Raw genomic sequence first — 26672 nt, forward strand, 5'->3', positions numbered from 1 at the left:
ATTAAAGGTGGAGAAGTGAAGGTCAGCTCCTGATGGACTCAGGGGACCGTGAATTGGGGCAACAGCAGAATGGTGCTGCCACAGCACTGACACTCAAATGGGGGTTTCAAATCAGCATAGAGGGAACTGTGTACACAGTGGAGGAAAACAACTGAACGTCTAAACCCCAATTAGCCAATTAATAAAACTACGAGTGTAATAGAAAAAAGTGAGATATTATCTTTATAAACTTGAGGTTGAAAAGGCTTGCATTATTTATTTTTTGAAATAGAGTCTTGCTCTGTTGCCCAAGCTGGAGTGCAGTGGCATGATTCTGACTCACTGCAACCTCCGCCTCCTGGGTTCAAGAGATTCTCCTGCCTCAGCCTCGCAAATAGCTGGGAGTACAGGTGCACACCACCATACCTGGCTAATTTTTGTATTTTTAGTAGAGATGGGGCTTTACTGTGTTGGCCAGGCTGGTTTCGAACTTCTGAACTCAAGTGATCCGCCCACCTTAGCCTCCCAAAGTGTTAGGATTATAGGCGTGAGCCACTGTGCCTGGCCAAAAAGACTTTCTTTAGAAAGATATATATCTTAGAATTTATATTGAAGAGGATCAACAGTATTGCTACATAGAAAATTTAAAGCATCTATATGACATATATATGACAGCATCAAAAAAAGGTAAAAGACAAATTTCAAATTTGACAATATATGCAACTATATCCATAAGATCAGTATCTTTGGTAGTCTTATGTAACTCCCACAAATCAGTTTTTCTAAAGAGTATCAACACTAGAAAAAAAATTAAGGGAAATGCAGAGGCAATATGATGGAGGAGAAACACAAATTGGCAATTAACATGGGAAAAGAGAAATAGTAATTAAAATGATAATGAGACTAGGACGGGCCCGGTGGCTCACATCTGTAATCCCAGCACTCTGGGAGGCCAAGGCAGGCGTATCACCTGAGGTCAAGAGTTCGACACCAGCCTGACCAATATGGTGAAACCCTGTCTCTACTAAAAATACAAAAATTAGCCAGGCGTGGTGGCAGACACCTGTAGTCCCAGCTACTTGGGAGGCTGAGGAAGGAGAATGGCTTGAACCCGGGAGGAGGAAGTTGCAGTTAGCAGAGATCGCACTACTGCACTCCAGCCTGGGTCACAGAGCAAGACTGTCTCAAAAAAAAAAAACACAAATTTTTAATAATTGCATTGTTAAAATGTCAATATTGCCAAAGGTTGATACTTTGGCACTCTTAAACTCTGTTGGTGGAAGTGTAAATTGAAACTGAGTTTTCATTTATAAGTCATATAGATAGAGGAATATTACTTTAGTAATTATTGGAGTTAAATATGATAAAAGAAGAACTTCAGCCATATTAAAGGAGTTTAATTGAGCAATGAACAATTTGAGAATTGGTCAGCCCCCAGAATCATAGCAGATTCACAGAATCTCCAGGGGTGTCTCATGGTCAGAACAAATTTATAGACAAAAGGTAAAATGACGTACAGGAATCAGAAGTGAGGTACAGAAACAGCGAGATTGGTTACAGTTTGGTGTTTGCCTTATTTGAACACAGTTTGAATACTTAGCAGTCTGTGAGTGGTTGAAGTATGGCCACTGGGATTGGCCAACACTCAGCCATTGTTACAGGTGCATTCTATTGGGTTTTCAATTTTGTCTGACTATTAAGCTAGGTTACAGTTCATCCACAAGGACTCAAATATAGAAGTACAGGCCATATTTAGTTTGCTTGAACAAACATCATTCTTACATGTAATTTTTGCTTGTTCTCATAACCATTACATTATCCCTATGTGCTAGTTTGCAGATGGCAAAACAAAAGTAAATTAAACTTTTTCCAAAATGGAGATCGTAAGTTGTGCCTATAAGTTATAGACCTGATCTTAGATAGTTTTGTGGCATTGTAAAAGGTTCACAAACTTTTAAACATCACTGTTTTCATCAGTAAAATTAGAAAAAAAAAAATCTTGCCATATTTCTCCTTTAAAAATTAAAGATGAGTTAATATACCCAAATTAGTGAAATCTGATTATCTTCTGGGCTAAGTTGTTTATTCGTGGTGGATGGCCCTGTAAATTGATCCAAAAGGAGATGGCGGAAATTAATATATCTTTCTAATAATAACTACTGTTATTTTTTGAGAGTTATGTTTCAGACTTGGTCTTTGGTAATTGGTAAATACTCAATAGCATTTGTTTGACTGATTGTCTTATTGAATGATTACCTCATTTAATTCTCACTCGAGTTAGGCTTTATCAATCCAGCTCTGTATAGGAAAGAACTGAGCAGAAGCTAAACACCATGCCCAAGGTGACATGCGTAGAAAATGGCAGAGCTGGATTCACACCAAGATCCCTCTTTCTCCATGGTTTGTGCTGGTAGCCATGTTCAAACTCAAACACTGGGTTCATGTATTGTTTGCATGTGCACCTTGTGATGTGCATAGGAACTGTGATCTGAGATGCTAAAATAGACACCACTTTATCCACTGAGATGGACCCAAAGATTAAGGAGACAAAGTCACCTATGGGTGGAGGGTTCAGGGCCCAGCTGACTTGGGTAATTTCTAAATTCCTAGGGCTAAACTCCCTAACCATAGGATCTGTCAGCTCTGATTTCCAACCTAGACCACTGTAACTCTGATTGGACAGAGGCCGGGCCTTATCCTAACATCCTCTTCTGATAAGCTGTTACAGACCTCAGGTTTCAGCAGCTCACAGAGGCTGTGCACAAACCATCTTTTTGTCCCATAGTTCACTTTTTGGTGTAAAAAGCCAAATTCCACCTCATTTTAATGCTAAAACCCAAAGTGAATATGGATGTATGTTACACATATGTTTATCCATCACACGTGTACTCAGCTCACCTCAAAAATATGTATAGCTTTCCCCCAAAACCTGTCGAATATGATACAGGCCCTGTGAGACTAAAACCCAACCTGTCCCTTCCCCTCTTGCAAGAGAGCACCTTTGTTCCATGCTAGAGACTTTCTCTTTCCAGCTTGCAAATAAGGCTTCTCTTTCTACTATTTAGCCATTTTGGTGATATTTTGGATGACAGAACTCAGAACCATCTTTTCCAAACCAAAATATAACATTTGTAATGAATTTGAATGTAATGCAACTTTTGTGCTATCCTTTAAAAATTTAGTGCAGGCTGGTGGCAGTGGCTCATGCTTTTGTAATCTCGGCATTTTGGGAAGCTGAGGTGGGAGGATTACCTGAGCCCAGGAGTTCAAGACCAGTCCAGGAAACATAGTGAGACCCTGCCTCTCCAAAAAAAAAAAAAAAACATTAGCCAGGCAAGGTCATGTGCACCTGTGGTCCCAGCTACCTGGGAGGCTGAGGCAGGAGAATTGCTTGAGCCCAGGAGATTGAAGATGCAGTGAGCCAAGATGGCACCACTGCACTCCAGCCTGGGTGACAGAGCAAGACCCTGCCTCCAAAAAAAAAAAAAAAAAAATCAGTGCTAAGTTGAAATTTTTTACAAAGCCAACATGAACTTAGAAAGTGCAAAAGCCTTGGGGCATTTTCAGATTGTTAAATAAAAGAAATCAGAGTTTGAAAATCAAGCAAACCAGGCTTACCTGGAGCCATCTATCACAATAAAAAGGCAGAAGTAAAATTCTTTTAACCATCATTCATATCTATTTAAATGATTATTTCATCAGTGAGTGAAATGGCATGAAACAACTTGATTCCTAAGTGATACATTCATATGATTCCGACAGTGTATCAAATTAGAAACCATTATTTCTGGCATGGTTGAGAATAAGCCAGAACTCATTATAATTTTTGTTTCTTCACTGGTTTTCTAGTGCATATGAGTATGGTTTTCTCTGTGTTGGATGGGTGATTCCAATATCATCCCCACCCAACTTGTATCAGTAACCTTCCACAATCCGGGATCCATCCCAGGGGGCCACCACATTTTCTCTGAGCAGAAACCTTACCAGGCCTTTCTCTGCTAACATTTCAAGCAAAAGACAACTGCGTACACGTTTTATTTGCTTGTTTTTTCCTTTGAGATGTCTCTCCTTATGTTGGAGATGTGTGTGGAAGAGACACTGAGGACTTTTAATTTTTATATCCACTGAGTAATATGAGGTTCTTACAACGATTTTTAAAATACTAGAATTGCTTCTTTATGTGAAAATGTGATTCCTCTGAAGGCTCAGTTCTGCTACAGTCACAAATATAGTTATTTATTTTCCAAAACTCAGTGTAGTAGGATATCAAAGTAGCTTATAATCAACCCAACAAATATTCTTTTCGAGACTTCCTGGCTAGAAGGGCTGGAATGTTTTCTTTAGGAGGAGGAGATTCACTCATCCGTGAATCTGTTTCTAGGTAGTGAAAAATCTGTGCATTTGCATAAATAACCACTAAAGAAATGTAAATGACTAAAGGAGGGTTTCATTATCATAAACGTCTCAGACTACCTGTAGGGCTTGGAATGCAGGCAGATCTGGTTTCAAGTATCTTCTTACCTTTAAAAGACAATTATCTTCGGCATTTCTGGAGAGAAAAAGAATACTACAATGTTTCTTGGCAACGATCCTCACGTATTTAAGTAGCTGGATCCTCAAAATGCGTTTGAACAGCTCTTTGGACTATTTGTATATTAAATATCTACCTGCAAAATCCTCCTGTGTTTCATTGCGCGTGTGGGAATTAGGTTGTATTGAGAACATTTCCGGAATTACTCTTGCAAAACCAATGATTATAACAGGACTAGGCTAATCAGAAACCTTCTCTGTGGTGGGGTATGTTTTGCAAGGTACTAGCACACAGGTTTCAATTTGCTCACATCATGAAAAAAGGAAACTCACGTGGATTGAAAAGGAAGAATGTCGGATCCATGATGGCAGCCCTGACTGATGCAGAACATTAGCCCCAGAATGTTGAAAATGAGAGGGCATTCCCTTTCAGAGCTGTATATACAGGAACAAGGTGTTTGGCAAACACAGAATTTGCTAAGGGTGAGATTGTGCAGCTGATAAGCATGCTAGGATTTCATCCTTGGGCTCTGCTTCTAGGCCTGCTCAGGTTTCAAGGGTTGGGGATCTGTGCTTCAGCCCAACTGCTTCAGGAGATTCCTTCATTTTAGAAAAGGCCCTGGAAATCCTCAGCCTAACCACGTGCGTGTATGAGAAAGCAGAGTACTGTACACTCGCTCTTGTATTTACCTCCTGAGGCAATCGTCCCCCTCTTATCAAATTTCCAAGAATGTTTCTCCCCTCCCATCTCTTCCACTGCTTTGCTCAATACTTGAAATGGTTTCCTAAAGCTCAGCTGCTGATTTGATTGCCTTCTCATTTCACCTGCTTCCCTGTTTTCTTCCTCCTCATTTCAATCTAAGCAACAGCACCACGACATCTAGGGAAAAAAAATAATAAGTCATTTCCATTCTGGTTAAAGCAAACCTCCACATTGTCCTCATTAAAAAAAGAAGTTAAAACATAAATTAAAATGCTCAAAAAGTCAGGTATTTTTAAGCCACAAATCACTCAGCTCAGTTTTCCAGCAGAATTCTCATGTAATCACGTTGCTTCTGGTATTTCACATATATCGGTCAGTCTTGTTTTTTCACTGAGATAGCCAGTGTGGGACAGTTTTAGACGTGTACGTTTTTATCCGAGAAAATGTATTAAGGTGGATAGTCACAATGGTACTGTCTCATCAATCCTTTATTACATTTTCTATTCTTTAAAACTCTTGAAAATAAGTTTTTCATGTCAATCTGTATTCTTAAAAGTTATATGAATGCCAACATGGAAAAAAATTATGAAATTATAATTATTTGACCCAGAATAACAATATTAATAGACAATGTTTCTTGGATCTATATAACTGACATTGTATTAAGCTTTTTAGATATATTATCTCATTAAATTATTCAATAAACTTTATAATATAGGTTTGATTTTTGTCCATAGCTTACAAACAAAAACTAAGCCCTAAGAATTTAAATAATTTCCTCCAAATCTCACAGCTTTGTGACCTGTGATGATGGAGATAGTCTATTTGATGCCTGTCCATCATTTGATGCTACCATATTGTCCAATAGTTGCAGAAGTAAAACAGTAGTAGAAGCAAGGATTATACACCTAGCAAATTGTCCACTGATAAAGTTCAGGACGTGCCACCTCAAAACATAGCACCTTGGCATTTGAGAAAACAGCAGTAGCAGAAGGGCCTCTCTCACCTTCCCCTCACCCTTATTACCTGAAGCAAACTATAAAACCTAGGAAAGTCATTCTGACTTTTCTCCCGCCCCTCACCCCTGAAGCAAGTCATAAGATCTTCATGCCAGAGGTGCCCATCTACACCTGGAGGAAAGAAATGTCTTTATCTCTCTCTTTTTTTTTTTTTTTTTCTGAGACAGCCTTGTTCTGTCACCCAGGCTGGAGTCAGTGGTGCGATCTCAGCTCACTGCAACCTCTTCCTCCCAGGTTCATGTGATTCTCCTGCCTCAGCCTCCCAAGTAGCTGGGACTACAGGCATGCAACAACACGCCTGGCTAAGTTTTGTATTTTTAGTAGAGATGGGGTTTCACCATATTTGCCAGGCTGATCTTGCACTTCTGACCTGGTGATCTGCCTGTCTTGACCTCCCAAAGTGCTCGGATTACAGGCTTGAGCCAGCGCACTGGTGTCTTTATCTCTGAAAACACAATGACATAGAGAAAAATCTGAACAAACAGGTCTCGCTAACTTTCTCCCAGTTTATTACCATTAGGTCACACACTTTTGGTCCGATCATATTTCTCCACAACTGTCTACTCTTTATCAAACGTAAGCACAAAAATGCACGTTTACCTGTTTATTTTGGGTCTTCCTTTATGCAGAGACTCCCATATCATGTAGTACTTAAATCAATCTGTATGCTTTTTCTTGTTAATCTGCCTTTTGTTATAGGGGCCTCAGCCATGAACCTATGGTTGCAAAGAAAAGATATTTATTTTTAACTCTTACACCAGCCATCTGTGACTCTTTAATATTAGTGTGGGGCAACTTGGGAGAAGATGGGATGATGTCAGGGGGCAGGCATATAAAAATAGAAGAGATTATATTATTAGCAAATGTAGCAGAGAAAAAGATTTCTCACCCATTACAAGAATCATAGCTGAGATTCCCGATAACAAAAGAAAGATTAAAAGAGAAAAGTGTACAACTTTATGGTTTTAATCACACAGGATTCCTTAAAAATGAAGACCCAAAGGAAAGAGGAGAAGTGTATTTTTATGGACAGTCTTGCAGAAGTATGATTGGAGGACAAAAGGAGTGTCCTACTGGTAATAAACTTGGGGGAACTTAGCCCTGTTTGTTCAGATTCGTCTGGGTGTCATTGAGTCTTTGAGAATAAGAACATTCTTTTCCTCTGGGTATAGGGAGGAGGAAAATGACCTACTTCAAGGATAGGTCAGCTAGTTTTATGACCTGCTTCAGGACAGTAGGGACAAGAGAAGGTCAGAGAATCTTCCAGCTTCTGCAGTTTTCTCAGCTTTCTTCAGCTTAAGATACTCAGTGTGCTAGGGTCCCATACGCAGGTAGTGTGTCCAGAACCCATCACGTACATTACTGAAAAGCTATGTACTAGTCAGTGTGATATAAGTCAGTGGGATTTTTCTCTGATTCTATCTTGGAGTAATTCAAGGTCTAATTGGAGAGAGAGACATTTCATGAGAAATATACCACAATGGTGTAAGTGCTACAATACAGTCAGTTGAACACAGTATACCCTGGGGTTGGTTCAGCAACAGCCTTGGACATAAGGCTGGACAATTTATAATTGCAAAAATGTGGAATCAACCCAAATGCCCATCTATCAATGAGTAGATACACAAACTGTGATATATACAACCAATGGAACACTACTCAGCCATAAAAAGGAATGAATTAATGGCATTTGCAGCAACTTGGATGAGATTGGAGACTATCATTCTAAGTGAAGTAACTCAGAAATGAAAAACAGAATATTGTATGTTCTCACTCATAAGTGGGAGCTAAGCTATGAGGATGCAAAGGCATAAGAATGAGACAGTGGACTTTGGGGACTCAAGGGGAAAGGGCGGGAAGGGGGTGAGGGATAAAAGACTACAAATTGGATGCAGTGTATACTACTTGGGTGATGGATGCAACAAACTCTTGCAAATCACTAAAGAACCTACTCATGCAACCAAACACCACCTGTTCCCCCATAACCTATGGAAATAATAATTTTTTTTAAAAAAGAGCGAGAGAAGGCTGGGATAACACTTCTCACATTCTCCTGCAGTAGCCAGGCCACCATGCTATACTCTATAAAAAGTGGCTTAAGTCCACCTGGGTAGGTCAGTTTCCTTAGGTGTATTTTTATTAGTTATACTTGTTATCTGCACCCTATGTGAGATCAAATACTAGTTCAGCCCCTTAATAGTTGTATGGTTTTGAGCAAAGTATTTAAATCTCTTTGAGTATCTGAGTCACCAACTAATAAGTATAGTTACTGTGAGGCTTCATTAAATAATGTCTAGATTATGAAGCCTCAAATTACTTTAATCCCTTTGAGCCTCTCCTAAACTAATAAATGGGGCCAAGTTATTGTGAGGACTCAATTAGATAATATACATAAATTGTGAAAGCCCACTTAGGTAATTTAGGTAAACTGTCTGATACAATGCCGGACATATCATTGGTACTCAATAAATACCAGCTATTATTCCTTCAGAGTCCCTACTCCATATCATTATTGCCATTGCTTATTTTGTTTCGTCAGGAAAAATAATCAAAGACTTGGAAATTAGCAGAGGGGGTTACTGGGTATCCTTTTAATGGAGTAGTGGCTATTGATTTATGCAGTGCTGTTCAGTAGAACTTTCTGTAATCTCAGAAAGGTACGGTAGCCACTAGCCACAAGTGGCTTTTGAGCATTTGAAATGTGGCTACTGTCACTGAGGAACTGATTTTCTTTTTTGACAAATTGTTATTTCGTTTGTATTTCATAATTATAAACTTAACTCTGCAATCCAGCTAGGCATGAAAGGGAATAAGGACAACATGGAACCCAAAGGGAACTGCAGTAAGAGTACGAAGATTCTAGGATACTGCGAGCAAATGGGGTAGAGGGGTGCTCTCTGGAGCTACAGAAAGAATGGTCTGCTGGTTAAGATAAACCCAAGTCAAACATATTAGAGTAGCCCACAGTCAGCAACAGCGATCTTCTTGCTGGTCTTCCCATTCCCCGCAAAGCGCCCCATGGCCTCCACAATAATCATGCGTTCTTTCACCTTGCCGAACCACTCGGTCTTAGCAGTGCAGGTAAAAAACTGGGAACCATTTGTACTGGGTCCAGCATTTGCCCTGGACAAGATGCCAGGATCTGTATGCTTCAGGACGAAGTTCTCGTCAACAAACTTCTCCCCATAGACGGACTTGCCACCAGTGCTGTTATGGCATGTGAAGTCATCACCCCGACACATAAACCCTGGAATAATTCTGTGAAAGCAGGAACTTTTATAACCAAATCCTTTCTCTCCAGTGCTCAGAAGATGAAAGTTTTCTTCTGTCTTTGGAAACTTCTCTGCAAACAGCTCGAAGGAGACGCTGCCCAAGGGCTCGCCATCGACGGTGATGTCGAAGAACACAGTAGGGTTGACCATGGCTGGCAGTATGAGGCGCCCAGTGGTGGCAGTGTCTGCAAAGCCTAAAGTTTTAATTTTATTTGATTTTAATTAATTTAACTTTATTTTATTTTACTTTTTTTGAGAGAGTCTCACTCTGTCGCCCAGGCTGGAGTGCAGTGGCATGATCTCGGCTCACTGCAACCTCTGCCTCCCAGGTTCAACAATTCTTCTGCCTCAGCCTCCTGAGTAGCTGGGATTACAGGCACATGCCACCATAACCGGCTAATTTTGCTTATTTTTAGTAGAGACAGGGTTTCACTATGTTGGCCAGGCTGGTCCCAAACTCCTGACCTCAGGTAATCCACCCGCCTCAGCCTTCCAAAGTATTGGGATTACAGGCGTGAGCCACCGTGCACAGCCTAATTAATTGAAATAGCCATATGTAACTAGTGGCTATAGTATTAAACAGTGTAGGTCTAGCTAACTCTCTGGGCACTGATTTTATAGGACTGTGAACATTTCCTTGCCTTTCTATGGACTAGGCCATTTTAAAAGTCTTCAGAGGTGGAAGTTAAGATATTAGTGCCAATGATTCTTGTTGGTAGCAAAGCAAGTGAACTTTGTTCAGTAGAAATGTAGCTGATTCCTACCTTATAGATAAAATGATCCAAATACTGCATTTCATTTCCCTATTGTACATTAATTCATCTTGTGTCTATTGGTAAATTTATGTTGGCATTACTGGTTGCCTACATATATATTCTTTAAGTTCTTTTTGAACTGGCTTTAACATCTTACTGCTTCCCTCCTATATTATTGAGTTAAATAAAATCCTTACTGTGTTCATTTTATGCTTACACGAAAGTGATGATTTTACCTTGAAAAATCAAGTAGGTAGGGCGTGGTGGCTCACGCCTGTAATCCCAGAACTTTGGGAGGTGAAGGTGGGCAGATCACTTTGAGCTCAGGAGTAACATGACAAAACCCTGTCTCTACTAAAAATATAAAAACTAGTAACATGGCGAAACCCTGTCTCTACTAAAAATACAAAAATTAGCTGGGTGTGGTGACACACGCCTGGAATCCCAGCTACTCGGGAGGCTGAGGCTGGAGGATCCTTTGAACCAAGTAGGCGGAGGTCACAGTGAGCTGAGATCATGCCGTTGCACTCCAGCCTGGGCGACAAAGCAAGACTCCATCTCAAAAAAAAAAAAAAGAAAAATCAAATAGTATCACACTCTTATTTTCTAATAATACTTTCGTTTTGGAACAGTTAAGTGGGGCAATGGGAAAGTTTTTCAATGCAACTTGTGTTTCTGTTTCTGGTTATATTACTGTATCTACTTTTCACTTGGGTGTAGGGGTTGTGGGAAATTACATAATGTGTTTATTAAAGGGTTGAGGGTTAGTCCTGGGAAATAAAATACAATAAGAAATAAATGATATGCCTGGTGCATGAGTTGGCCATTTTTTTCCCCTCTAGAAACCTGTCTTCATGGGTTAGAGATTGCAGAGCTTTAACTACAATGTCACTGCTCATTTTGTTGGCTTATATTTCATTGCCATAAGAATAGAGCAACTTGTGTCTTGGGTTTACTCACAATATCAGGTGAAATGTGAGAGCATTATTAGATAGCATGGCATGGCACACAGAAACACAGGAAATACTGGTTCATGATGACAGGAGGAGATAAAATGCTTATCACAAGGTCCAGTTTATTCTTGTTTGGCCTTCTGTTTCCAGGCAAGTTGTACAAATAAATATACAGTTTCATTTAATGAAGAAAATTATTCAAGAATTGAAACCAGAAACATTTCCGCAGATCAAGAAAAACTAGAGTTGAATTATGTCATGAGCATCCTGAAAGCAGAGGGAAAGTTTGAGAAATGGCAAAAGCTTTTAAAATAACTGACATAACACATACACAGCCCACATTTTATATATCCGACCAGACAAAATGAACCATAACCCTTATCAGCCTCTGCCTAGAATCATTTTGTGGGCAAGAAATAGGAACTGTCTGTGAGCAGTCAAGTAGTGTTTAAGGTGAAGATTGTCATGGTTTTATGTTTGCCACATTACCATACCACTGATACTTTTCAAAATGTGCCCCAATAGCTTGTGAATAGAAATAGGTGTACTTCATTCACGGGTAGTTAAAATCAGCTTTCAAACACAGCTAGAGCAAAGTTACACTAGAATTTTCCACCACCTGCCAGCAGGGCAAATGGAACACCCAGCTGTAGCAGAGATTAAACTAAAGCAGAGAGTTTTGAGCATGTACAAAGGAAGGGGGCAAGAAAAAGAAAGAGGGATGTGAGTGCAATAGGTATGACATAATAACACAAGAGAATCATGTTACAGGAAAGGAAAAGTGTCCACAAAAGAACGCTGAGTGTGAAAGCAGATCACAAGTTTATCGACACTTTATAGGTACTACGGCCACTGATATATTTCTATGGATTAAGAATGAGAAGAAAGTGGCCGGGCACGGTGGCTCACGCCTGTAATCCCAGCACTTTGGGAGGCCGAGGCGGGTGGATCACGAGGTCAGGAGATCAAGATCATCCTGGCTAACACGGTGAAACCCCGTCTCTACTAAAAACACAAAAAAAATAGCCAGGCGTGGTGGTGGGCGCCTGTAGTCCCAGCTACTCGGGAGGCTGAGGCAGGAGAATGGTGTGAACCCGGGAAGCGGAGCTTGCAGTGAGCAGAGATCGCGCCACTGCACTCCAGCCTGGGCGACAGAGCGAGACCCCGTCTCAAAAAAAAAAAAAAAGAAAAAGAAAGAAAAGAAAAATGAGAAGAAAGCATAAAAGGGTAATTTCTTTTAACTTTTTAAAAAGTATCCTTTAAATTTCTTTTTAACATTATTTGTGTTAAAAAAAATAAAGTGAAAAATGTGAAAAAAACAAGAGAGACAATGACAGGGGGACGCTGAAAGAATGAGGAAGCCAGAGTGAAAAGAAGAAAGCTTAAATTAGAAACAAAAGTGAGAGAATTAAACAGAAAGGGGGGCCCGGAGTCCCTGGAGCCGCTGCCCTTTGAAGCCTGTAGCCACCAGGGCACGTTTGCTGTGACTGTCCAGTGGCGTTTCCTTCTCTCTGCTTACGTTCCTGCCGTACCAGGACGGGTCTGGCAATTTTTCTGTCTTTTGTTTTCTCCCTCCTGGCAGAATGACACAAAATCCTTTCGCTTCATGCGGTGAAAGGGAGTAAGTGTTCCTTAGGTAACCTTCATGTTAGTAAATTAAATTATCTGAGCAGACGCATGCAGAAACGTACCCTGCTGGCCTGCTGTGAACAGGCAGTCATCAAAGATGATGAGGAAGCCGGGAGGAGCTGCAAAGGCAAGGGCTTGCGTTCTTTTATATTGAAGAAGCTTCAGCAAAACTGTAACTCTGCGTGGGAGAGCAAAGATCTCCCTTGTGAAGTTTCTAAACACAACCAGAAAAAAATCTTAGACTAACGTTAAGTCAAAGGAGGTGTTTATTGCATTTTTAATTTAGGAGGCTCCAAGCAGACAGATCCGTTAATGCGGAGGTGATAGTATTTTACCTCCTCCATTCCCAACACTTGGCACAACTACAAATCATTGACGTGACAATTCTAATATTTAGAATTCTTAAACACAGCTCTTATTTTTATTTGGATTGCATCTTGGCAGAGCTAATCCTTAACGTTTTATGGTCATTTAGGGCAGCAGTCTAAACTCTTATCTGTGCAACCCTTGCAGTTTTCATGAAAGATAATGCCTCGGAAGTTGTAGATGCTCAATTAGGAAACCATGTCGTAGGAAGATGTCTTTGGGACCAGAAAAAGTTAAGATTTCAGCTCAGCTTCCTAGCAGTTTATGACCTTGGATAAGTCACCTAACCTCTCTAATACTTGGTTTCTTTCTATAAATAGGAGAATGTGCCTCCCTTACAGTGATGTGATGAGGATTTAGTGGTATGACCCACCAAGCAGGGTGTCCAACACACAGCAACAATTTCATAGTTCGGCGTTGTTTTGGTGAGGGCATTGAGCTGGGCTTTTCCTTAACGCTCTGTAGTCCAGGTTTTCACGGTCTTGTATCAGACACTTATATCTATAATCGTGTATCAATGAATAGAATATGACTAGGCACTATTAAAAGTAATATGAAGGCTAGGCAGATTGGCTTACGCCTGTAATCCTAGCACTTTGGGAGGCCAAGGCGGGCGGATCATAAGGTCAGAAGTTCGAGATCAGCCTGGCCAACATGGTGAAACACTGTCTCTACTAAAAATACAAAAAAATTAGCCAGGCGTGGTGACACGCACCTGTCACCCCAGCTACTCAGGAGGGTGAGGCAGGAGAATCAGGAGAATCTCTTGAACCCAGGAAGCAGAGGTTGCAGTGAGCTGAGATCGTGCCACTGCACTCCAGCCTAGGCGACAGAGCCAGACTCCATCTCCAAAAAAAAAGTAATACGAATTCCTTTTTCGCCTATAATAGAATAAAGAAAATAATATTTAATAAGAATATTGATAACCTAAATGTAAAAGGGAGTAAATTTTATTTAAAAAGTTTAACATTAATAGAACTTGGGATAATAAATTAACATAAATCTTCCCATTAATCCTCATATTAAGTCATTTTGCCAAAGAAAACACTGAGTTAATCAGATGGATTATCCAACATGACACACCAGTGGGAAAGTGGAGGAACTCTAGAGTTAGAACTTCAATTTTCTTTTGTGTGTGTGTGTGTGTATTTTTAGTAAAGACGGGGTTTCACCGTGTTAGCCAGGATGGTCTCGATCTCCTGACCTCGTGATCCTCCCACCTCAGTCTCCCAAAGTGCTGGGATTACAGGCATGAGCCACCATGCCCGGCCAAGAACTTCAATTTTCTAGGCCAGGCAAGGTGCCTCACACCTGTAATCCCATCACTGTGGGAGGCTGAGGTGGGTGGATCACCTGAGGTCAGGAGTATGAGACCAGCGTGGCCAACATAGTGAAACCCCATCTATACTAAAAATACAAAAATTAGCCCGGCATGGTGGTGTGAGCCTGTAATCCCAGCTACTCAAGAGGCTGAGGCAGGAGAATCACTTGAACTCTGGAGGCGGAGGTTGCAGTGAGCCGAGATCCCACCATTGCACTCCAGCCTGGGTGACAGAGTGGGACTCCATCTTAAAAAAAAAAAAAAAAAAAAAAAAAACTTCAATTTTCAGAGTGTTGGTAGATCCCAAGATTTCACAAATAAGAGACTTTCTGGAATTGTACAGGAAAGAGACATTACATGTATACATTAGCAATGCACAATCAAATACTTGGAGAAATAATATTGTTTTATGAAAACTCATTTATGCAGTATACACACAGTTAATTAGAGCACTCTTCAATATTAAGAAAGAGGTATTGGCAAGAGGCAGGAGAAAGGATCAGTGGATATTGGAAACAGAAGAGAGTGACCAGAAGGCTAACTTTAGCAGTGAGCCTTTAGCAATGGACCAGGATACCAGGTGAGACGGGTAATAAAGGGACTGTGTGCGGAGATGTGGGAAGAGTGCAGGGAAAATGCAGAGGTAGCACAGACCCACAGGTAGGAGGGCAGTGCTGCTGCTGCTAGGCATGAAGCTCTCCCAGATTCTGGAGACAGAGTACTCTATGAAAAGGGTTGCCTGATGAGAAAGGGGTGTAGGCTTCAGCTGGGGAGGGGAAGCCAGATCTATGGGAGCCCGCAGGGAGAGGTTAGGGGAGAGGTACTCTGACAGCATTCTCTTTCCTTTCGCCAATTGCCCTGTACTCCCTATCAGCAGAACCCAACTGGAAGCAGGGAGTCTGCTGGAATAATGTGCATGGATCAACCTTTGGATGGAAGAAAGGAAGATATTCATGGCCAGGTCATGGAGACCTTCATACAGGGTGTCCCGGAGTCGGGATCTTCTATTACAGGTTATTGGAAGACATTGAAAGTCTCAAACTCTTCAGCACTGTATCCCAGCGGGCACATTCAGCTTGAATTCTTTGTGGTCACCCAACCAGCTCCCCTCACTCCATTCGGTGTAATGTGAAATGGAGGAAGGTGGAATTAGGGGGTGCAAAACTGGACGCCGAGGAGCAGCTGGGATGCCAATGAAGGGATCGATGGGATGAGGATACAAAGGAGAGGAAGAATTTGAAAAATACTTTGGAAGTGAGTTACAGAAGCTGAGGGAGAAAAGTCAAGGATCCTAAGGTCTAGGTTTATGACTTGGGATTATGAAGAGATAGTTGTACCACAAAATGAGATAGAGAATAAAGGCTTGGGAGGAACTTCAATGATGAATATAATCAAATTAATAAATTTAAATTTGTTAAATATAATCACAAGAGTCGTAAGAAACATTTACAATGATCTTATTCTTAATAAAGACCCATAATCTTTAGTTTCCAGTTCAAGACCATTCATGATGGGTCTTTGTCTTCCCCATTAGCATGGCATCTAAAATTATAGACTCTGAAGAATATCGCTGATATCATAATTTTTTCTCATGATATTCTTTTCTAATCAACCCATAGTCCATATTTTTATGGTTGGAGAGAAGTTCAAATTTGATAGCAAAGGCTTGACTGGTAGGTAATCTTAACTAAATCACAGAAGAATATATATTTAAATGTATTATAAATATTATTCAAATAAGCTAAAAGAGAACATGAATAGTGTGGCACTCCTGGATTTTTCTTCTTTCTGGACCAGTTATTATGAGTGGCCTTAGGCAAGCTACTTTTGACTCAGTTTTCAATAATACATAGCCACTCCTGGTGTTATAAATGAGTTTTTACAAAGCACTCCCCTATAGGCAAAATAGAAATAATAATACTTTGCAGAATTGAGGTCATAGGTATTAATTATGTTAAGTTCTAAGCAATGATGTAGCAGACATTTTGTTTCTAGGACAGGATGCTGGCTTTTACAGCGCTTTGTTCTCCTGTGTAATTATAGATCACTTTACAAGTATATTTAAAATATGAGTTTCTGTTTAAATCTTCTCAGTAACATGTTCAAAGAATACCAGTTTCATTAAGGAACATGGTTTTCTTTATTATCATGTTCTTTCATACAAATACTGGATTGTGAGTGCCTTAAATTCACTCATGAATGTAACCATTCAACATTTATTCTTGCTTTGCTCTACTTATTACTTATGATTTTGTCAGTTAATATAATAAGATTAAATTTGCAAGGCATACCTTCTAGAAGGTGTTTCTTTTTTGGCGCTATATTGATAATAGCTGCCACTTAGTTGTATATATTAAAATAACTCAGAAGTTTCAGTTAAGGTGAATTGCCAGCCATGGATAATTTAGAACAATTATTAGCTGATTATTTTAATGTTACTTTAAAAAAATATTTAAAAATGCTTACTAATTGTACCATTTGTGAAGAATCAGTTTTTTAACAGTGTGATGTTTTACTATACAAAGGTAAATGTTTAAAACAAAAAAATTACCTGGACAGATATAAGGACTTTCTTGCTCTAGACTCAGCCATTATTGGAACAGACTTCTCTATTACTGTTTCTTTAAACTTTGTAAGAACGCAATCCACTGTTTTCTGGGATTATGTTTTGGATTCATGTCCTGCTTTGGTGACACACTGAAACTGAGAAAAAGCACTCCCTTACTTCTGGCAAGAAATGCTTTATTTGGATGTTTACCCTAATTACTCCATAGAACATATTTTGGCTAGTTTTAGGGACCTTTAAGCCCTTCCTAGGACCTGGCAAAATCCTTCCTGTCCTGTCTTTTCTCGTCACTGGGGAGAACACTGCAGGGAATGTTGATACAGGGTCATGTGCATGCCACGATCCTCCAAAACAGATTCCCCACCACCCCAACCCCAATTAGCAAGACTGGACAGAATCACTCTGCTAAGATTCCACCTTTCATATTTTGATCAGGTGGTTGAAGAGTAGCACTTTTGCTGAATAGCTCTAGTGTATGGCCACCAGAAAAAAAAAAAAAGGTTATAACACCTTGAATTATTCACATCCAATACAGATATTATTCTGGCAAATAATTTAGTACATCGGAAAGTATAGAAAATTATAATCTCCTCATCACATGATTCGGAGGACAGCCTAGTCATTGGAAACTTATTCCTGGCCAGTTTTTTTTTTTTTTTTTTTTTTTTTGTCTGAAAAGATAGAGCTATTTTCTTTTCATGAGGCTGCAGTTTGTGATTACCAATGAAGTAGAAGCTAAGGAATTTTGGCTTCCAGACAACCCTGTCTTTCGTAAGGAGGAGTGACCTACAAAGGTACAATTAAGTCTACTTTCAGAGAGCCCTATTAGTAAAACAAAAACAACAAACAAACAAGAAAGCTCCTATTGAAATTTAGCTGCAAGGTTTGACGGGGTGGTGGCTCTTGCCTGTAATCCTAGCACTTTGGGAGGCTGAGGCGGGTGGATCACCTGAGGTCAGGAGTTCGAGACCAGCCTGGCCAACATGGTAAAACCTCGTGTCTACTAAAAATACAAAAATTAGCCTGGCGTGGTGGCATGCACCTGTAGTCCAAGCTACTTGGGAGGCTGAGGCAAGAGAATCACTTGGACCCAGGAGGCGGAGGTTGCAGTGAGCCAAGATCATGCCATTGTGCTCCAGCCCGGGTAAGACAGCAAGACTCCATCTCAAAAAAAAAAAAAAATAAGAAACTTAGCTGCAAGGTTTCGACACTTGTCTTTAAGGTTCTTGAGGAACCAAAATTAGGAGGCTTGTTGACATACAACCTTAGGTGCTGTCTTCATGGAAATGGGTCCATTTAGCCATGTTTTTAAACTAATATTTAATTTCAAAAGGATTTAGGTAAACTAATTATGGTTTCTCAGTTTTATCAAATTGAAAAGAGATGTAAGAACTGCAGAATTTCAGGGTTTTTAAGCTGGACCTGATGCCTTATGTGGAACTGAGTCCCATCCCTTTGCATCCTCCTCCTGTTGTGATGTAAGCTGAGTAAGGATAAAGCAACTGCAATAACAGAAAATTTAAAAATGCATGTTTTTATGAAATGCTTAGACAGTCTGAGGTGCAATGAGACAATATGACTATAGCATCTCAGCTGACGTCTTTGGCAATGACTTCATTGTCATTTGGGTTTGAAGGAAGTGGATAAGTAGAGAAAAGCGAAATTTGATATGTACATCTTCTGAATTGCTCAAGTCAACTGATTTTTACAGAAATAAGTCTTTCTTAGCATTTTGATCTTATTGTCAAGTAATCTAAACAGGAAAGGGAAGATGAGCTGGGCGCGGTGGCTCACGCCTGTAATCCCAGCACTTTGGCAGGCCGAGGTGGGCAGATCACCTGAGGTTAGGAGTTCGAGACCAGCCTGGCCAACATGGTGAAAGCCCATCTCTACTAAAAATATGAAAATTAGCCAGGCGTGATGGCACATGCCTGTAATCCCAGTTACCCAGGAGGCTGATGCAGGAGAATCACTGGAACCCGGGAGGTGGAGGCTGCAGTGAGCCGAGATGGTGCCACTGCATTCCACACCCCAGCCTAGGCGACAGAGTGAGACTTTGTCTCGAAAAATAAATAAAATAAAATAGAAAGGGAAGATGGAAAGAAGGGAGAGTCTTTGAATTAAGGGAACCATGCTGAGCCCTCCAGATCCCACAGGGCTGCCTACTCCTGGACACTGTCTCTAGAATTCCCCACGTGGACACCCAGCATGCCAAGAGTCCCAGGAAGGTACTGCTCATTGGCTGAATTTTCTGCATCTGCTTCCCCTCCCTGCTGTATTCTCTGTCCTTACCCACACCAGCTCCAAATAAGAACAAACTAGCCTGTAGACCTTCCATTCAACAGAAGCCAAAATTCCTTATCAAAGTCTTCTTTGAACTGCTTTGTTATCAGGCACTGTAATTTCATGCCCAACTTTGTTGATGTCTCTCTTAAAAGGACCAGAGAACTGGAGAACAATCTGGGCTTGAGCCTGCTGGTGAAGGGCAGTTCTTGAAAGGAAGGAGCTCCTCTTGGTGATGAATTGGGTGAAGAAGCGTGATTGTTTTGCTCTATTTACAGGATCATCTCTCTACTGTCTTTAAAAGCTTATTAAAAACAATCTGAGGAGGTTTCCCAGCATGCTGCTTTAATTTAGGCTGTTTTTAATTTTAGAAGAATGAAAATTCCCTATTTGGTAATTTCCTTTCTTGCTCAAGGTTTGTTCCTTTACAAGGTTTTCTCTTCTTATCAGCTTGGCCACTGTTGCAGCTATTGTAACTCAAATGTGGACAAAGGGGGAAAGAATACCACTCTCCAAAACAAAACCACAAAAACAAATTTAAAAAGTTTTTTTTTTTTTTTTTTTTTTTTTTTTTGGCAATTTGCCTTCAAAAGGGTGTAGTTCCGGGTAACAGAGAGTGCAGCAAGTCTCTGGAGTCTAAACGGAGACAGAAATCAAGGTGCTGACTTTAATTTTTCTTGGAAAATAAACAACATGAACATAACCCAAAATGTTTTCCAAGGAACCACTCTACCCTGAGGTCCTTATGCCCTGGAAGGGTGGGTTGTTTACTCACAGCCTCACTACTTAAAACTTTTATTTCAAACATTTTTAAATATCTTTCTTGCCATCTACCCATAAGTTACAAAGTGGCATTAGCAAGCATGGCCTCACATCCTATACAATATATGTGGGCAGTGTCTTGGAGTCTTTGTTGCAGATAGAGGCATATTGAGTAGAATGGGAAGTAGAGTCTAGAAAAAGCTTAGTGAGATATCCAGTAGCTTTTCTTATGAAACATGCTGTATTTTGGAAACTCATTAACTTTGATTAATATTAATTTAGTCTTTTATCACGTCAGGGGCCGTGCTGAGCTCTGACAATACAAAAGCGAATAAGACACCACCCCCACCTCTGGAGTTTATAGAGGAAAGACAGGCAAACAAGGGATGGGTAGGGAGACCTGTGTTGATGGACAGGGACCACAACGTGCTCTCTGCCAACACGGAGGGATGTCTCGCTCAACTAACACGAGGGCAGGGGGTGGGCTGTGTCCTGTCTGTCAAGCTGGCCAGAGAAGAGGACATGAAACAGATGATATGGTTGGGAACGATGTTTTCCCCTGAAATAACCTTAGTGGCAGTGAGGAGTGAACACAAAACCCTAAGTTTTTCAGTCACTGCCCACAGCAACCTTTGGTAAGCAAAAAGGATTTGTGAGGTCTTATATTTTAGCTTGAAAATTAGTGGGACATTTGTATCCTATTCTGTCATATTAGATTGCTCCTTACAGAACTGCTGATTTTGAAGGCCTAAACGTTTAAATAATGGTAATTGCACGGAGTGCAGACATCTGAAAAGAATGCCTTGCAGGAGTTGCCAGTTGTATTTCACTCTATCCTTTCATGTGCCCACTGCTGTCTTGGGGACAGGCATGTGGCAAAACGCAGAAGACCTTTGGGACAAATGGGGAGCTGCGACTGTTTGGAATGGCTCAGTTGGAGAGGTGGGCTGTCAGGTGGACTGCGGTGGGTGCAAGCTTCTCCTGAAATGTTCCATCAGTGCAAGTGAGAGGAAGCCTGTGGAGGGCTGGGAGCAGGAAGTGGCATGACTGTGCTTCCTGAGCTCATCCTAGTGGGGAGCTGAGGATGCTCTGGAGAGCCAGAGGCTGGGATAAAGATCACTTGAGGTCAGGAGTTTGAGACCAGCCTGGCCAACATGGTGAAACCCCATCTCTACTAAAAATACAAAAGTTAGCCAGGTGTGGTGGCATGCACCTGTAGTCCCAGCTACTCAGGAGGTGGAGGCAGGAGAATCACTTGAACCCGGGGGAGTGGTTGCAGTGAGCCGGGATTGCACCACTGCACTCCAGCCTGGGCGACAGAGTGAGACTCCATCTCAAAAAAAAAAAAAAAAAAGAAACAAAGAACTTTTAGGACATGAAAGGTGCTAAACAGTGAGAGACATGGTAAAGAAGAGAAGGGTGATTTTGGAGTTTTTAAGGGCTACAGCAAGAAGACTTGGAAAGTAATGAGTGGTGAGAGCTGAGGAGGAGGAAGAGCAATGGTCCTTATGGTGACTGCCGATCTTTACTGAGCGCTCCCTACGTGCCAGGCACTGCCCTGAGCACTGTCCATGGACTGTTTTACTAAATCCGCATTACCGATCTATATAAGGCTCATTTCCCAAATGAGAACATTAAGGCTGTCACAGAGGTTATGTGACTTGCCCAGGGTCACAGAGCTTATAGGTGATTGGTCCAAGATGTGGATTCAGGTGTACACTTACATGACTGGTCAAATCTTGTTGCTATTCATTGAAACAGAGAATCATCATCATCATCATCATCATCATCATCATCTTCATAACAAGAGACTGTGACATTTATTGTGTTTATGATGTGTCATGCCTAGGCTTACTCTAGGCCTGTTGTAGAATTTAACTGATTTAATCCTCAAACAACTCTACAACAGGGTGCTATGTGTTCCCCTGTATTCGTCTGTTCTTGCACTGCTATAAAGAAATACCTGAGACCAGGTGCAGTGGATCACGCATGTAATCCCTGCACTTTGGGAGGCCGAGGTGGGTGGATCATCTGAGGTCAGGAGTTCAAGACCAGCCTGGACAACATGGTGAAACCCCCATCTCTACTAAAATACAAAAAATTAGCTGAGTGTGGTGGCTGGCACCTGTAATCCCAGCCACTTGGGAGGCTGAGGCAAGAGAACCACTTGAACCTGGGAGGCGGAGGTTGCAGTGAGCTGAGATCGCACCACTGCACTCCAGCCTGGGCAACAAGAGCGAAACTCCATCTCGAAAAAAAAAAAAAAAAAAACCTGAGACTGGGTAATTTATAAAGAAAAATGTTTTAATTGGCTCAAGTTCCACAGGCTGTGCAGGAAGCATAGCTGGGGAGGCCTCAGGAAACTTACAATCACGGTGGAAGATGAAGGGGAAGCAGGCACCTCTTACCTGACTGGAGCAGGAGGAAGCGGGGAGAGGCACTGCACACTTATAGACAATCAGATCTCGTGACAACTCACTCTCACCATGACAACACCAAAGGAGATGGTGTTAAACCACGAGAAGCCACCCCCATGATCCAATCACCTCCCACCAGGCCCCACCGCCAACACTGGGGATCACAGTTCAGCATCAGATTTGGGTGGGGACACAGATCCAAACCATATTATCCCCCATCTTATGGATGAAGAAACTAAGGCACAGAGAGAGTAGGTCATTTGACCAAGGTCACACAGCTCATAATGTGGAAGAGTCAGTATTTGAACACAGACCTTCTGGCTCTAGAGCCCATACTTTTAAAGACTTTATTATATTACAATTTTTGAAACATAACTTAAGGTACCTGCCCATATCCAAAGGAAATGTCTTTCAGAGAGTCAGATTTATTGGTTAAAACTCAGAATAGAGATCTTGTGTAGGGATGAAGATGTGGGAGTCATTGGCTAATCGGTAAAATTTGAATCTTGGATGCGCATGGGATCACCCACATATATCACAGTGATCAGATGACCATATCCACGATTGTGGGGTCCTTTAATCTCCTCTAGCTGGGAGAGCGCTATTTAGATACCTGTTCCACAGCATAAAGCACAAAAGCACAGCCAGCCACTCGGTCCGTTCAAAACACTCGCCACCATCATCACTGATGTATTAATCTCACATACATGAATATTTGTTTACCTGCAAAAACATCATAATTGAGGACCTTGGCAATGCGTTTATTTTGTCATAGGTTTTTTATTTTGTTTACCGCCCAGATTTTTGGTGGATATAAAAATCATAGTATTTTTGTTCTCTGAGGCTGTGGTGTTTATAATCAGAAAGAAATGAAGAACTGAGGCAATTAATTACATAATTAAGAGAAAAGTATCATCTAAGGGGAGTGGAAGGGAAGAAGAATTATTTTCAATATTGAATTATCTCTCAAGTTGTCTCAGTTCTCCAGCCTGTGTGAACATGCCTGTAGGAGCAGCGGAATCCCTAAGAACAAAATCCAACCACTCAATAAAATGTGCACGCTACCATGGAAATGAAATCCACGGAAATTCTTCCCCAAGGTCAGACTTTTTCTCAGAAAGGAAAGGTTTAAGAGTATGTTGAAAAGAAGAATATTGTTGGAGAACATTTTTGACATTTAAAGGCAAACATCTGTTATTTTGTATTTTTATTTATTTATTTATTTTGAGACAGGATCTCCTCTGTTGCCCAGGATGGAGTGCAGTGGCACGACCTTGGCTCACTGCAACCTCTGCCTCCTGGGTTCAAGCGATTCTTCCACCTCAGCCTCCCAAGTAGCTGTGTCTACAGGCACACGCCACCATGCCTGGCTAATTTTTGTATTTTTAGTAGAGATGGGGTTTTAGCATGTTGCTGAGGCTGGTCTTGAACTCCTGCACTCAAGCAATCTGCCCATCTTGGCCTCCCAAAGTGTTGAGATTATAGGCATGAGCAGCGGGCCTTGCATCTGCTATTTTTTAGATCCTTCAGGATTGTGCCTAAACAATGCAGAAATAATTAGCTAGGAAGTCACGTAACCAATGAACCGGTTATTTAGTTTGTGGAAAATTGAACCTGGTGAAGCAACTGAATCCCATTGATAGGGTTTGGCTCTGTGTCCCCACCCAAATCTCATCTCAAATTGTAATCCCCACATCCCCACAATCTCCACATGTGGAGGGAGGGACCTGTGATCGCCACGTGTTGAGGGAGGGAGGTGACTGGATCACGTGGGTGGTTTCCTCCATGCTGTTCTCATGGTAGTTAGTGAGTTCTCACAAGATCGGAGGGTTTTATAAGTGTTTGGAAGTTCCTCCTTCATTCTTCTCTCTCATAGTGCGAGAAAGAAGGTCTCTGCCTCCATGTGGAGAAGGGCCTTGCTTCCCCTTCGCCTTCCACCATGATTGTAAGTTTCCTGAGGCCTCCCCAGACATGAGGAACTGTGATTCAGTTAAATCTCTTTCCTTTATAGATTACCCAGTCTCAGGTATTTCTTTACAGCAGTGTGAAAACAGACTAATATACCCATTCTATTTTCTTTCTCTTGTGGAATCATTCAAATATTTTTAGAGTTTAGACACATTCTAAATGAAAGTGAGAATCTCAGAATTTGAGAGGTTCAATAGATGTTATTATTTGCACTATGAGGAAGACAGGCCAGGTTTCCAAATGTTGAGGTGACTCTCCAGGTTATGTAGCCCTCAGGGATACAGAAAATATTTTGAACAAAGTTTTCGAGGAGAAATCTAACTTTCTTTACTCTATCAGATTCATCTAGGTAAACACTTTCTTTTTTTTTTTTTTTTTTTTTTTTTTTGAGACTGAGTCTCACTCTGTCGCCCAGGCTGGAGTGCAGTGGCGCGATCTCTGTTCATTACAAGCTCTGCCTCCCAGGTTCACGCCGTTCTCCTGTGTCAGCCTCCCAAGTAGCTGCGACTACAGGCGCCTGCCACCATGCCCGGTTAATTTTTTGTATTTTTAGTAGAGATGGGGTTTCACCGTGTTAAACAGGATGGTCTCGATCTCCTAACCTCGTGATCCACCTGCCTCGGCCTCCCAAAGTACTGGGATTACAGGCATGAGCCACCATGCCCGGCCTTAGGTAAACAGTTTCTAAATCACAGTCCAATTCTGGTATTATCTTGTTAGTTTTAGTTGTTGGTGACTTCATAGCATAAGAGGCAAATTGTTACCATGATGGCAACTGGTTAACTACTAGGACAAATGCCTTGTGTTTATACTCAAGGAGCATAAATTGCCTCTAAAAATATGCAGTGCTGTAACTGATAAGGATACGCTCAGCCTGTGGTGGGAAGTCTGCAACAGAAGAGGAAAGACCTTTTTTTTTTTTTTGAGACAGAGTTTCTCTCTTGTCATCCAGGCTGGAGTGCAGTGGCATGATCTGGGCTCACTGCAACCTCTGCCTCGGGGGTTCAAGTGATTCTCCTGCCTCACCCTCCCAAGTAGCTGGGAATACAGGTGCCCACCACCACACCTGGCTAAGTTTTTGTATTTTTAGTAGAGATGGGGTTTCACCATGTTGGCCAGGCTGGTCTCAAACTTCAGACCTCAGGTGATCCGCCCACCTCGGCCTCCCAAAGTGCTGGGATTACAGGCGTGAGCCACCACACCCGGCCAGAAAGAGCATTTTTTGGTCTGTCGTTTATGTCAGAGAGTCCACTGACTCCTTTCTGAAATTGGCTACTGTTAACTTAAAGAGAAAATGGAGGTCCTAGAATGGAGACACACCTAAAGAGACACAACTCTGTGATGGAGCTGGGATCAACCTTCAAAGCTTCTGACGAGCTCCTTTTTATGTGAAACTCTGGGAGGACCTCATTTTCTAAGTCGGTTCAGCTCATCATGTGCAACAGATGTCCACACTGTTTAAACCTGTGCTAACACTTCCTCTTAATTTTTTTTCTTCCTCCCACTGGAAAAATATTGAAAAGAACAAAAATAAATGAATCTTAGCTAAGCAAATTCCACCTTAAACCAAATCCAGGTGAAGTTTATAATCGGCATTATAAGATACCACCAATATGTCATATATTCATAATATATAAAGAAATTTTCCTATAAATAAACTCATTGTTAAGCAAGTAGAAATCAATGTATGGCATATGATGATTACAATATCATTTCCCCCACACAATGCCATGGTTTGAAAAATCACAGAAGGAAATATATAAATGTGTCTAGTGATAACATCTGTGTTATGGTTGAAGACTTTTTTCCAATTGAGAAAAACAGGGTTGCCTTTGTGTGGCTTTCAATGACCTAATTGAACATTATTTCTTCTGCTGAAGAGGGTCCTCATTGCCGGATTGTGACTTTGTTATTGTATTTGAACTCCTTTCACCCCCGGTTCTTGTCTCTACGATAGCTTGGTTGGCTACTGTATCACAGAGTTGTGTACATGTAGTCACAATTGTTCAGAAATAGAAATTTGTTGATGTCTCTGCTTTGATGGGTAAATGTATCATAAATCAGCATTCAAGAAAGCTATTTTTTAAAAAGCCCGATTTTCCTGATTTTGTGATAATGACATTTATGCATAACAGATTTGGAACAGATA

The 26672-nt window shown here is 41.1% G+C and overlaps 1 pseudogene; it reads right to left on the bottom strand.

The window, feature by feature from the left end:
• Nucleotides 8973-9695, bottom strand: PPIAP24 (peptidylprolyl isomerase A pseudogene 24; annotated as a pseudogene).

Source organism: Homo sapiens, chromosome 13, assembly GCF_000001405.40.
Source record: "Homo sapiens chromosome 13, GRCh38.p14 Primary Assembly".
NCBI classification, from domain to species: Eukaryota; Metazoa; Chordata; class Mammalia; order Primates; family Hominidae; genus Homo; species Homo sapiens.